Genomic DNA, 13,420 nt, shown 5'->3' on the forward strand with positions numbered 1-13,420 from the left:
CTTATCTTCAACACTTTCTTTAATGTGTGAAAGATGCTCTAATTCTTTTCCCAGAGCCTCTAGTTCCCTGGAAATAATAAAACAGTGTTACATTTTGCTGAATGGGGGAGAAGAGTTTACAATTAATGCCTAACTTTTAAGTTACTAGATAGGATTTTTAAAATAAAAAAAGGGCTTATAAGGAGTTATAACACTCCATTATGGTGAAACTTTTAAAGCTGAGGATGATTTCTTCTTAACTTCTAAATATGGACTCACTTTCATTAAAATTACATTTTTGGATCCATTTTTAAAGTACAGAAAAATACAGATAACAGAATAACAAGACCCAAGAAATGATACATATTGTGAAGTTTAACTTCGAGGGTTTTTTATTTTGGTAAAAGAAATAAAACATTGCCAATTAACTCGAAATACCCTTTGAATCTTACGCCTAGTCCTCTATCCTGGGCCTTTTTATCTCCTCTACCTCCCACTCAGGCAACTACTATATCATTCTTATTCTTTTTTATGCATATACTTGTATCCCTGAATAATACACAGTATTGGTATATAATATTTGAAAGGGGGTTCTAACTTTTATAAATGGTTATTATTCTGTATGTGTTTCAGGAATTTAAATATAATTTAAAGTTTATTATGTGTCTTTTCACTGATTATGTTTTGAGAGCTGTGTTTTAAAAGGGCATAACTAGTTTATTCTTTTTAACTGAAATTCAATATTTTAATATATGAAGACCATATTCTATTTATCCATTGTGATATTGATGCATATTATATGCATTTATTTTAGACATATAGCTGGTAAGGTTAGAGGAAAATAAAATCTAACAGAGAAGTATGGGAAAATATAATATTGAATATCTGACCCCTCCTTTTGAAACATATTTATTTCTGCAAAAATGAAATGCCTACGGTAGTTTTCGAGCATTTATGTATAAAGGTTAGTTCCTTTCAAAGTAAAGCTCTACACTTACTTTAATGTCTCATGCCTGTCTGGATGGTGCTGAATCACTTTTGCCAAAGCATCATATTCTGTAAGACATAAAAATATTTATCAAACTAAGGATTTTTTGAATGTGAATTATCAAAACAAAATGTGTAATATCACAAACCTCTCCTAATCACTTTCCTAGTACATCAAGAAATGAAATCACTGAAAGATGAGTATTGCCAGTTTTAGTTAACTGAGTTATAATTATAACGATACATAACATCAAAAGTGTTCCAAACAGGGGTTTTAGCTCCCACTTTTTTTCCATTTATATGTCCTGGACAGAACGTAAGAGGTCAGCATAAGCATAAGCAAATTTAAGTTATTATTGATTATCAAATAGACTGATTCTGAGAAGGATCTTACTCACTAGTTGTCCAAAAAGTAAAATAAAATAAAATACAATCAGTGAATATATCCTACCATTAATCTGAGTTGTTAGTCAACAGCAAATTACACTTCTCACTCATTCCAAAAGTTAAGATTTCAGAAACTTGCAAATAACTTAAAATTCAGGTTCTATTTTCTGCTCCACTGAGACCTCCAAGATAAGTCATGTAACTCCTGTTAAGCTTTCTTATGAAGTGATGAGTGGCAGGATTTACTTAAAAGCCTCATTAACCAACGAAAACACTGCAAAATATTTTTAGATGACTTTAGAACTGATACTAAGTTGGTATATGTTACTGTAAATAAGGCACCAAAACTTCACCATACACATTTTAAACTGAAAAAAAAAACTTGTAAAAAGAGGAAATTAAGCTTCATCTTAATTAGTTCATTAAAAAGTGAAAATTCATTGTTTTAGAACTGAGCATATTAATTCAAAGTATGATTCTTTTGGATACAAATTTTTTGAATTACAAAATAATACATGCCCTATGTAAAACAAAACAAAACAACACAAAAACAGAGAAAAGAACCTAAGCCATAAAAACCCACAACTTCAAAATAACCATTAACATTTTCTATTTTCTTCTAGTTTTTCATATCAATGTAACAGTTGTGATTACACATTATATTTTTTATTTTTACTTTTCTTCAATTTACATTATAAGAAGAGCAGTGCCTCTAACATTAAAAATTATCTTGAAATAGTATTTAGGAACTACATAAGGGTATACTCTAACTTAAAAACAAGAGATTATAACAAAACTCAACTTTAACCTTCTTATTAGATATTCTAGGCAGTCTAGAAATGTTTGCTTGCTTTGTACTTAATGAAAACTCAGAGTTTAAATTCTTTTCCATTTCATTTTTTGGAAAGTAGCTCTATTAAACAAACAAACAAAAAACCCAAACCATAAATCTAGTATATTTATGTAAATTGCCTCTGCTGATTAACCATAACATTATTTAGGCAAAAGGGTCCAAGATGGTAAAAATTTAATACTTAAGAAATACTGGGATAAGAAAAAAAAAGAGAAAAACAGAAAAGAAATACTTGGATAATCAATGTAATCCAGCAAAAACATTCTTCTCAACACAGACTTCCTTCTCTATTTTAAAGAATAATATAGTTTTAAGGAATTAAAATTTGGATTTTTTTTAATCCAGGTTGATTCAGGCTGCAGATTTTACCTCACAACATTAAAAACTGCATGAAAACTGTAGTCAGTAATAATGTATTTGCACATTAAATCCCTCAAAACCCTTACCTTGGCGATTTTTTCGTATTCGTTTTGCTTGAAGAATTTGCTTTTTGCACTCAGCAATTTTTTCATGTGCTCCAGCTATGCTACATTCTATATGAGAAGGTTTTTTAAAAGATAGTTGTAACAAAATCAATAATCCATTTTTAATTTTAAAACGCATTTATAAATTAACCTCTATTGGTAACAAAATAGACACTAGTATTTTTAAAAAATAGCTGTAACCCAAAGTACTATATCATCTTAGAATACACATTTTTTATAGCTAACATTTACTGTATTCTTTCCATTAATACAGTAATTGTTATTATTCTTTTACCACCAAAGAAAATTGTTAGCAGGTATTGTTTCCTTTAGACCATAAAAAATAAAATTACAGATAGAAACATTAAGATTCTTTACCTATTTCCTTGTAAATTTTTTCATAATTTTCCATTTCTCTGAGATTCATATCATATACTAGTAAAGTTTTGCCCATTGAAAATTCACATTGAGACAGCGTGCTCAGCATACGTTGGTACTGGCTATATCTAATGAAAAAGAAAGAAAACCAAAATAAAGATATTTGTGGACTGACAAAAGTGAACTGTTATAATGCAGACAAATATTTGCTAATTAAATTATAGCAAGTTCTGAGAGAATCATTTGCTTATTTAAAATTTAGAATATCTGTCCCTTAAGTTTTCTTTTTATCAAATGTAGTATTCTTGAATTTAACTACTTTAGTTACAAATGCAAAGGTGGGATTGTTGTTCTTATCAATGCACATTTTATTCAAACAATTATTTGAATTTTGTTTAAAAGACTTTAGAAATACTTTAAGATGTTTTTTTAACTTCACAATTCTGTTCCCACAATTTTTTCACTCTATAAAATTATTTATATGGAAAGCAAATTCAAATGAGAAAAAGTTTGCTATGTTAAAAAATAAATAAATATAGTTAGGCGTGGTAGCTCATGCCTGTAATTCTGGAATTTTGGGAAGCCAAGGTGGGCAGATCACTTAATGCTAGAAGTTTGACACCAGCCTGGCCAACATGGTGAAACCCCATCTCTACTAAAATACAAAAATTAGTCAGTCATGGTGTTGCATGCCTATAATCCCAGCTACTCAGGAGGTTGAGGCACGAGTACTGCTTGAACCTGGGGGGCGGAGGTTGCAGTGAGCCAAGATTGTGCCATTGCACTCCAGCCTGAACAACAGAATGAGACTCTGTCTCACAAAAAAAAAGATTAGATATACGTGTGTGCGTGTGTATCAGGTTGGTACAAAAGTAATCGTGGTTTCTGCCATTTCTGCCATTAAAGTTAATGGCAGAAATCACGATTAATTTTGCACCAACTTAATATATACATACATAGCAGCAGCCTTTTATTAGCAAAGGAGAAAATTCCATTTAGATATTTTATCTTACTAAACACTTATGTCCTAAAAGTAACCAAACTAATGAGTCTGAATTTAATCTTCATTTCTCCTTACCAATCTGCCTTCTCCATGTTTTAATAAACATATGAGAGGCCTTTGAAGAGAAGAAAAGGCCAAGAAAATCTACTCTTGGTTAATTAAGAGTTGACTCCACTGTACATTTAAGGTGAGTGAAAATTTGATCTACTCACAGGACCTTAATATAGGGCCTAAAATCACATTAGGACACTGGTATGGAAACAACAGTGAAAATGAAATACCCCTCTTCCTGGGACCCAGAGTTGCACCATTTAATGAAACTCTTCACTAGCAGATTAATTCTCCGATCATCTCCAGCACCATCTCCATCAATGAGGAGACGCTTCCGTATAACTTCGTCTGCAGGAAAGAAGGGCAATGTTACCATCTGGCTCTTGGTAACTTTCAAGTACAAATAACCAGTATCACTGTTCATTTGTTTATTCAAAAGAAAATTATTGAAATGTAAATGCATTTAATGCCACTGAACTGTACACTTAAAAATGGCTAGCTAAAATGGTAAATTTTATGTTATGCATAGTTTATGTTATTGTATATAATAAAAAATATTTATATACTAAAGAAAAAAGAAAGTTATTGCATGACTATTGTGTGTCAGGTACTATTCTAGGGGCTGGAGTAATAGCAGTGAAAAGACATCGTTACAGAGTTGGCAGTCTACTGGGTTGTTGAGTGGAAATAATTTTCAGGTACAATCAAGGAAATAAGCCAATAATTCATAGAGAACCTTTTGTGAAATAACCTGCCCAGACAGACAGAACTCCAAATGTTAATGTCTCTGGCTGTTGAGAAGCACTGACAAAAGGAATAGACAGGAAATATTTAAAAGATGTAGTGGCAAACTAGGAAAAAAAAATGAGATGGGTGAGGGAAAAAGGAATGGATTTGTTAGATAAACATATAATTTAAGGCTGGGTGGGGTGGCTAAGGGAGTATCACTTGAGCCCAGGAGTTTGAGACCAGCCTGACCAACACAGTGAGACTCTGACTCTACAAAAAATAAAAATTAGCTGGGTGTGGTGGCATGTGCCTGTTAGTCCCAGTAACTTGGGAGGCTGAGGTAGGAGGATCACTTGAGCCTCGGAGATCAAGGCTGCATTGAGCCATGATCTCACCACTGGACTCCAGCGCCTATTGGCAACAAAGCGAGATGCTGTCTCCAAAGAAAAAAATAAAAAATAAAAAAATACAGATGACAATGATGGCCAACAAGTGGGGTCCAAATCTGTCTGCCTGGCAGTCCTGAGCTAGTGTTCTTTCCTGGACAAAATGATGCTGGATCGTAACAAGAGCAAGGCAAGTTAAAACCACAGTAAAACGTCATTTTTCAACTATCAGATTGGCAAAAGATCTGATAAAACTGTTGGCAAGGGTGTTAGAAAACTGCACTTTTATACACTAATAAAATGCAAACTGGTAATTCTTTGTAGGGCCACTGAACAATAACAAATAAAATTAAAAACACACTACCATTCTGACCCCATAATTCCAATTCTAGAAGTTTGTCCTATAGAAGTGCACTCATGCACAAAGACAGACATAAAGGGATGTTCTTAGTGGTACTGTTTATAGTAGAAAGATTGCAAACCTATTCATCAGTAAGAAACTGGTTAAATGATGAAACATTCACATAATGTAATAGTATGAGCCAAAAGAATAGTGCAGATATACTGATACCAAAAAACTCTCCTTAGATACATTAAGTAAAATGAAAACAAAACAGGTGTAGAAAAGCATATACAATATGTTGCCATATGTGTGGAAAAAGGAGGCTTTGCGTGTGTGCATGTGTATCACACATGCATGTGTGTATTCAGAGACTATCCTTGGACAGATCCACAAGAAACTTGTAATAGCGGTTATTTCTGGTAAGAGGGACTACAGATAGAGGTGGGAAAAGATAATTTTCCTGCATGTCTTTGTAGAATTTGGGGGGTTTTCTGTTTTGTTTTTTATAGTACGCAGTAATTATTTTTTAAAATAAATTTTAAAGTGTGAATAATTCCTGGAGAGCCTCCATGCTGAATCAACAGCAAAATCTTTAAACAATAGTTCCTGTGTGTAGGCAGAAGTATTTTTGAGCGCAGGTGCAGCGGAGATAAACTTTGGAAGGCAGATGGCTCCAGTTTTAAAATATATTGTGATAATATCAGATAAACATTTTTAGAATTGGGTTTGGTTCTCAGAGTCATGGCTTTGACAGACTGCTCAAGCTACATATTCATCAAGTGTTTTAATTTTATATTTTAAAAATACAAACTAATGCTTTCGGTTTTTTAACCACCAACATTATTATCTGAAGAGACTGAGACAAATAAAACATAGTCCTTGAAGAGATTAAAATGCAGGAAATAAATACTAATAGAATTTTCTTACTACAAATGTTTTAAGTTTATTAAAAAGAAGCATCTAGTGGGTGAATCTGGTGGCACTGATGGTATTCAACAGTTCCTTTGCTAGTCTTATCTGTGTTCTTCTCAAGTCTCCAAGAAATACCATTTTTTTTGCTACATGCCTGGATCTCCAACTGTATTGAGGACTGGGGATTTCAAATGTAAATACATTAAAGTAATAGGAAAACAACATCTAAGGCAACCTGGGGAGTGAGTGCCCTGATTGAGAGGAAAAAATATTAATAGATCTAAGAGAGATTAAAGTTTGATGCTGTGGTTTGAATGTCCCCTCCAAAACTCATGTTGAAATTTAACAGCCATTGAAATGACCTGAATAGACACTTCTCAAAAGAAGACATACAAATGGCCAACAGGTATATGAAAAAATTCTCAACATCACTAATCAGGGAAATGCAAATCAAAACCACAGTGAGATACTAGCTCACCCCACTGAGAGAGGCTATTATCAAAAAGACAAACAATAACAAGTGTTGGTGAGGATGTGGAGAAAGCAGAACCCTTATACACTATTGGTGGAATGTAAATTAGTACAGGTATTATGGAAAACAAAATGAAGAGTCCTCAAAAAACTGAAAATATGAGCTGGAGAATTCACAACCTAAGTGTCCACTGATCAATGAGTGAATAAAGAAAATGTGGTATCTATACACCATGGAATACTACTCAGCCATAAAAAGGAATGAAATAGTGTCTTCTGCAGCAACCTGGATGGAGCTGGAGGCCATTATTCTAAGTGAAGTAACTCAGGAATGGAAAATCAAATACCATATGTTCTCACTTATAAGTGGGAGCTAAGCTATGAGGACACCAAAACATACAGAGTGACATAATGGACTCTGGAGATTAAGAAGATGGAGGCTGGGAGAGGGGTGAGGGAAAAAAAAACTACATTGGGTACACTGGGTATAAGTACACACTTGTGTAGTACACTACCCGGGTGACAGGTGCACTAAAATATCAGAATTCACCACTGATCTGGCTGGAATGCAGTGGCATGATCTCGGCTCACTGCAACCTCCACCTACTGGGTTCAAGCCAGCCTCCTACCTCAGCCTCCCAAGTAGCTGTGACTACACATGCAGGCCATCATGCCTAGCTAATTTTTGTATTTTTTTTTTTTATAGAGACAGAGTTTCACCATGCTGCCCAGGCTGGTCTCAAACTACTGAACTCAAGTGATCCACATGCCTCAACCTCCCAAGTGCTGGAATTACAGGCATGAGCCTCTGTGCCTGCCCCAACCCCTCCAAAAACCGTATGTATATTTGTTTGTTTGTTTGTTTGTTTGGAGACAGAGTCTCACTCTTTCATCCAGGCTAGAGTACAGTGGCATGATCTCGGCTTACTGCAACCTCTATCTCCTGGGTTCAAGCGATTCTCTTGCCTCAGCCTTCCGAGCAGCTGGGATTACAGGCATGTGCCACCATGCCCAGCTAATTTTGTATTTCCAGTAGAGATGGGGTTTAACCATCTTGGCCAGGCTGGTCTCAAACTTCTGACCTCAAATGATCCGCCTACCTCGGCCTCTCAAAGTGCTGGGATTACAGGCATGAGCCACTGTGCCAGGCCTCAATAATTCTTTTAAAATTAAAAATGGAACTACCATATGATCCAGCAATCCCACTACTGGTTATGTGTCCAAAGGAAATAAAATCAGTATGTCAAAGAGGTATCTGCACTCCAACGTTTATAGCAGCCTTATTCACAATAGCCAAGGTATGGAATCAATTTGGGTGTTTACCAACAGATGAATGAATTAAAAAAAATGTGGGCTGGGCGTGGTGGCTCACGCCTGTAATCCCAGCACTTTGGGAGGCCAAGGTGGGCGCATCACGAGGTCAGGAGATCGAGACCATCCTGGCTAACACAGTGAAACTCTGTCTCCACTAAAAATACAAAAATATTAGCCAGGCATGGTGGCTGGTGCCTGTAGTCCCAGCTACTCAGAAGGCTGAGGCAGGAGAATGGCGTGAACCCGGGAGGCGGAGCTTGCAGTGAACCGAGATCACGCCACTGCACTCCAGCCTGGGCGACAGAGTGAGACTCCGTCTCAGAAAAAAAAAAACAAAACTGTGGATGTGTGTGTATATATATATGTGTGTATGTGTTACACACACAAATATGTGTTACACATACACATACATACATAAACAATGAAATACTATTCAACCATAAAAAGGAGGACATCCTGTCATTTCAACTACATGGATGAACCTAGAGAACATTATGCTAGGTGAAATAAGGCAGGCACAGAGAGATAAATAATGCATGATCACACTTACATATGGAATCTAAAAAAGGTGGTCTCACAGAAATAGAGAGTATAATGGTGGTTACCAAAGGCTGGGGTGGCTAGGGAGAAGGAGGTTGGGGAAATGTTAGTCAAAAGATACATACTTACAGTTAGGCAAGAGCAATAAATTTCAAGAGACCTAATTGTACAGCAAGGTGACTATAGTTAATGATGATATAGTATATTCTTGAAAAATGTAAAAAGAGTGAATGTGATATGCTCTCACCACAAAAATGATAACTCTGTGAGGTAATGCATTTGTTAATTAGCTAGTTAACCATTCCACAATGTATATATACTCCAACACATCATACTGTACATGACAAAAATACACAATGTTATCTGTCATTTTAAAATAAATACATAAAAAAGAAGGAAGTTTAATTGCCATCGTGCCAGTATTAACAGGGGGAACCTTGAAGAGGTGACTGAAGAAGTGATCAGGTCATTAGGACTGTGCCCTGATGAACAGGCTTATGCAGCTATTGTGGAAATAGGTTAGTAATCTCGGAGTGAGCTCCTGATAAAAGGGTGAGTTCAGCTCCATTTCTTTTCTCCATCTCACACTCTCCTTTGCCATGTGATACCTTTTGCCATGTTATGACACAGCAAGAAGACCCTCACCAGATTTGGCCCTTTGATCTTGAATTTCCCACCCTCTAGAACCATAAGTCAAATAAACTTTTATTGCTTATAAATTACCCATTCTCTGGTATTCTATTACAGCCTTGGAAAACAGAGTAAGACGGAAAATTGTACTGGCAGTGTGGCTGTTGCTATAATACCTGAAAATGTGGAAGCGGCAAGTGTTGCCCAAGTCTAGAATCATAAATAAAGACAATTGAGATCTTTACATTTGTTGTAATTTTGTCTCTTGACAGATGACCACAAAAGGACCTGGAGACAGCTGACCTGAGACTCCTTGAGGAACACAGGAAAAGGTGATGCTAACCTTCTTTTCTGGGGGTGGGGGGTACTATCTCCTTCATGTAGCCCTGAGGGTTAAGTCCCCCTCAGATCTGAGCTCTGCTCTCTTTAAGTATTTAAGCTCGCTGATATCTTTGGCTTTGGGGGTATCAAGATTAGTTTGTGCTATGAGAGGACATTTGACTTTGGGGTACCTAGGGTTAGTTTGTACTGTGGCAGGGCACATGACTTCTGGGTTCATAGTGGCTGACAAGTCACTGGCAATGACTACATTGTTTCGGCTCCCACTCTGGTGATATCTCATGCATGATGCCATAAAAGGCTTGGGTCAAGCCCTGAAGAATGTGGCTGGACAGAAATACGGGTTGCATCCCATTGGTGACCAGCATATGACCAGAGGGAAATGTGCGTTACACTCTCTGTGGCTACCATAAAGGGCTGCAGTAGTAAAGGTAACCAACGGCAGTCACAGTAAGTGGTTATTACCATGAGGTGGAGGGGGACATGAACTCTGGCTTTTGGAATTCATAGGTATGTGTGTTCTTTTTTTCTTACATGTTTAGATGAGGGAGGCCTCAGGCATCTGACTGGGTCAGACAAAAAAGAAACTGAAATGTCATTAGCTAAGTTGGTCAAGGCGATCTCAAAGCCAAAGCCATTTTGGCTTTGGAAGACCCAATATCCAACATAAAATGGTTTCTTTAATTTCTAAAGATCTGAGTACCCTCCCTTCTGGCCAGTCTGCCTTTTTTGTGTATAAGGTTTCTGGTTCTGGAAGCTACAAATATTTACAAATGGCAAAATCTTACAAAAGATAATTCAGAATTATGATGCCATTACATGGAATGTTCCACATGAAAAAGACTATTCATCTAAGAAGTGCACTCGAACCCCGAGCCTCCCAAATTATGCAGAGAGAACAAAATTCTTATTGGCATTCAGAAGCCTCAAAGAGACAGTCCTCTAAAATCACCTTTTAAAAAGATTCACTGTAAAGAGCTAATGAAAAGCTGGAAATGGAAGATATTCCCTTACCAAGGATGGTAAAACTGATGTAACTCCTACTGCCTCTCTCTCTCTTTCTTTGCCTGAATATTTACAATCTACTACTAAATATTCAGTCTGCTTTGTCTGAATTGCCTTTCTTCCCTGAAAAAAGCAGTTAAACAGTTTCCTTATAAGAGAATCGTCTGAAAAATCAGGAGATAATCCCCAAGCGACTTGCACTCCCTGGACAAAAATGGACTTCAGGGCCACAGTTCAAGATTTTCCTAAACCTAGAGAAAAATTTCACAAGTTTTCTGAAGAATTCAGGGTCTTACTAGTAACTTATTATTTAAAAATTTTTATTTTTTTTAGACGGAGTTTCACTCTTGTTGCCCAGGCTGGAGTGCAAGGGCGCAATCTTGGCTCACCACAACCTTCGTCTCCTGGGTTCAAGCTATTCTCCTGCCTCAGCCTCCCAAGTAGCTGGGATTACAGGCACCCACCACCACGCCAGGCTAATTTTTTTGTAGTTTTAGTAGAGACGTGGTTTTACCATGTTGGCCAGGCTGGTTCTCAAACTCCTGACCTCAGGTGATCCACCCACCTCGGCCTCCTAAAGTGCGGGAATTATAGGCATGAGCCACCGTGCTTGGCCTTACTGGTAATTTATAACCCCAGTATACTTGATCTGTACCAACTAGTATATGTGTTGGTGTACTCTAGGGAGCCCCACATGGATGAAAGAGGCAGAATGATAGTCTCCTGAGAATTCTATCAAGTACCCAACAAGTCCCGTCCGATCTACTTATGGGTCAGGCAAAACCCAAAAGACTGCAAATTACAGTTTGAAAAGCCATTCCCCAAGTATTTCAGCTCCATGACAACCAGCAACCTAGAATGACATTTGGGCCTGTCCTAGGGTGCTTCCCCAAATAAGCAATCCCTAAAACAGCAGTTTCCAAAAATTCACTAGTAGGAGGGCTAGAACGCCTCCTAGTTTGTTGGGAATGGATCGAAGAATTGCGTAGGCGAATAGGAAGTACCACCACTTGTGCAAATAACCAGGACATTGGAAAAAGGACTGCTAAAAAAAATTTCTAGGAAAGCCCCTAAAATCAGGCTTCCCACCCACCCTGTGATAAAAAAAGTTCCTATAAATCTGGTATGTATTGGTATAAATGCTATCAGTCATAATTTTGGTTGAAAAATAACCAAATTTCCTTGTCAATTTCATCATTATTTTAATGAACTCTCATCAGGTTTTAACCATGGCCATTTTAAGTCATGTTGTCCACAGTTAATTGTTTTGGTTCTAATGCCTTTTATGAAAGCTTTCTGCAAGCAATTATAATCCTAAAGTGCTGTGTCTCCAAAAAGCTATATCAGAAGAATGAAAAGAAGGCCGGGTGCAGTGGCTCACGCCTGTAATCCCAGCACTTTGGGAGGCAGAGGCGAGCGGATCACTTGAGGTTAGGAGTCGAGACCAGGCTGGCCAACAAGGCGAAACCCTGTTTCTACCAAAAATACAAAAATTAGCCGGGTGTGGGGTTGCGTGCCTGTAATCCCAGCTACTCAGGAGGCTGAGGAAGGAGAATTGCTTGAACCCAGGAGGCAGAGGTTGCAGTGAGCCAAGATCGTGCAACTGCACTCCAGTCTGGGCAACAGAGTGAGACTCTGTCTCAAAAAACAAACAAAAAAAACAAACTCTGACATAACTTTTAGTTTATACCATTGGACAAAATTTCCAAAAGTTTAATGAAGAAACTGTAAACCAAAAATAAAATTCTAAGCCCTCCAGCCAATTGAATGGACACCCATTCAATAGGCCAAGGGCTTTCCAAAGTAAACCTGAAAAACTAGTTTAGGCCATGATGGGAATGGGGGTGGGGTCAGAATGCCTCATTACACCCTCCTTCTAGAATTCAGGCACAACTGACCAGCATGAACATTAAAACAGAGATCTTAAGACTGACCAAACAGACTCTTTGTACCAATAAGATACATCACATGACAGCAGACATTGAAATAAATTGAAGTATTTTACTCTGAAATATATTTCTTTGATGTATTTAAAAATGGCCCTGCAAAGTTGTCTCATAAATCTACATTCTGTGGAGAATCCCCTTCCCTTTCCAGGTCTTTTCCTGATCCAGGAGAGATTAAGAGTCTGGCACCTTTTTAAGTCTGATAAGAAATATTTACCATCTATTCTCTGTGAAGCCTGCTAGCTGGAGGTTTCATCTGTGTCAGAACCTTGGCCTCCACAACCCCTTATTTCAACCCAGAAATTCCTTTCTATTGATTCCAGGTCTTCAGACAATAACTTAACCAATTACCAATCAGAAAATCGACTCCACCTATGAGCTGGAAGTCCTTCCCACCCCCCACCTTCAAGCTGTCCTGCTTTTCTGTACTGAACCAATATACATCTTACGTGTATTCATTGATGTCTGCCTGTAACTTCTGTCCCCCTAAAATGCATAAAATCAGCTGTAATTCAACCACCTTCGGCACATCTCAGGACCTCCTGATGCTGTGGCATGTCTTTAACCTTGGCAAAATAAACTCCTAAATTGATTAAGACTTGTCTCAGATACTTTTTGGTTGACAAATTTGATGGGTTTGTAAAACTGCTAACCAAGATCAAACAGAGCACGAATTAATTACATGAGACTGATTGAACTGATA

The 13,420-nt window shown here is 37.2% G+C and overlaps 2 protein-coding genes across 5 annotated transcripts in view; one reads left to right on the top strand and one right to left on the bottom strand.

Moving 5' to 3' along the window:
- The window catches only part of C3orf49 (chromosome 3 open reading frame 49), a 68,930-nt gene extending 55,617 nt beyond the window's left edge, over window positions 1–13,313 (top strand). Inside the window, exons 6-7 of the mRNA NM_001355236.2 lie at window positions 9,700–9,759; window positions 13,041–13,313. Coding sequence (NP_001342165.1) covers window positions 9,700–9,729 — 30 coding nt within the window. The 3' untranslated portion in view covers window positions 9,730–9,759; window positions 13,041–13,313. The remainder of the gene's footprint in view (window positions 1–9,699; window positions 9,760–13,040) is intronic.
- Window positions 1–13,420, bottom strand: part of THOC7 (THO complex subunit 7) — a 30,615-nt gene that overhangs the window by 1,454 nt on the left and 15,741 nt on the right. For 3 of the 4 annotated variants that reach the window (XM_006713339.4, NM_025075.4, NM_001285404.2), the window contains exons 2-6: window positions 4,333–4,450; window positions 3,049–3,176; window positions 2,653–2,739; window positions 978–1,035; window positions 1–67 (exon numbers count right to left, since the gene is read on the bottom strand). In XM_006713339.4, coding sequence (XP_006713402.1) covers window positions 1–67; window positions 978–1,035; window positions 2,653–2,739; window positions 3,049–3,157 — 321 coding nt within the window. In that variant the 5' untranslated portion in view covers window positions 3,158–3,176; window positions 4,333–4,450. The remainder of the gene's footprint in view (window positions 68–977; window positions 1,036–2,652; window positions 2,740–3,048; window positions 3,177–4,332; window positions 4,451–13,420) is intronic. The other variant, NM_001285387.3, reaches the window with a different exon arrangement.

The sequence above is a fragment of the Homo sapiens genome, chromosome 3, assembly GCF_000001405.40.
Source record: "Homo sapiens chromosome 3, GRCh38.p14 Primary Assembly".
NCBI lineage: Eukaryota > Metazoa > Chordata > Mammalia > Primates > Hominidae > Homo > Homo sapiens.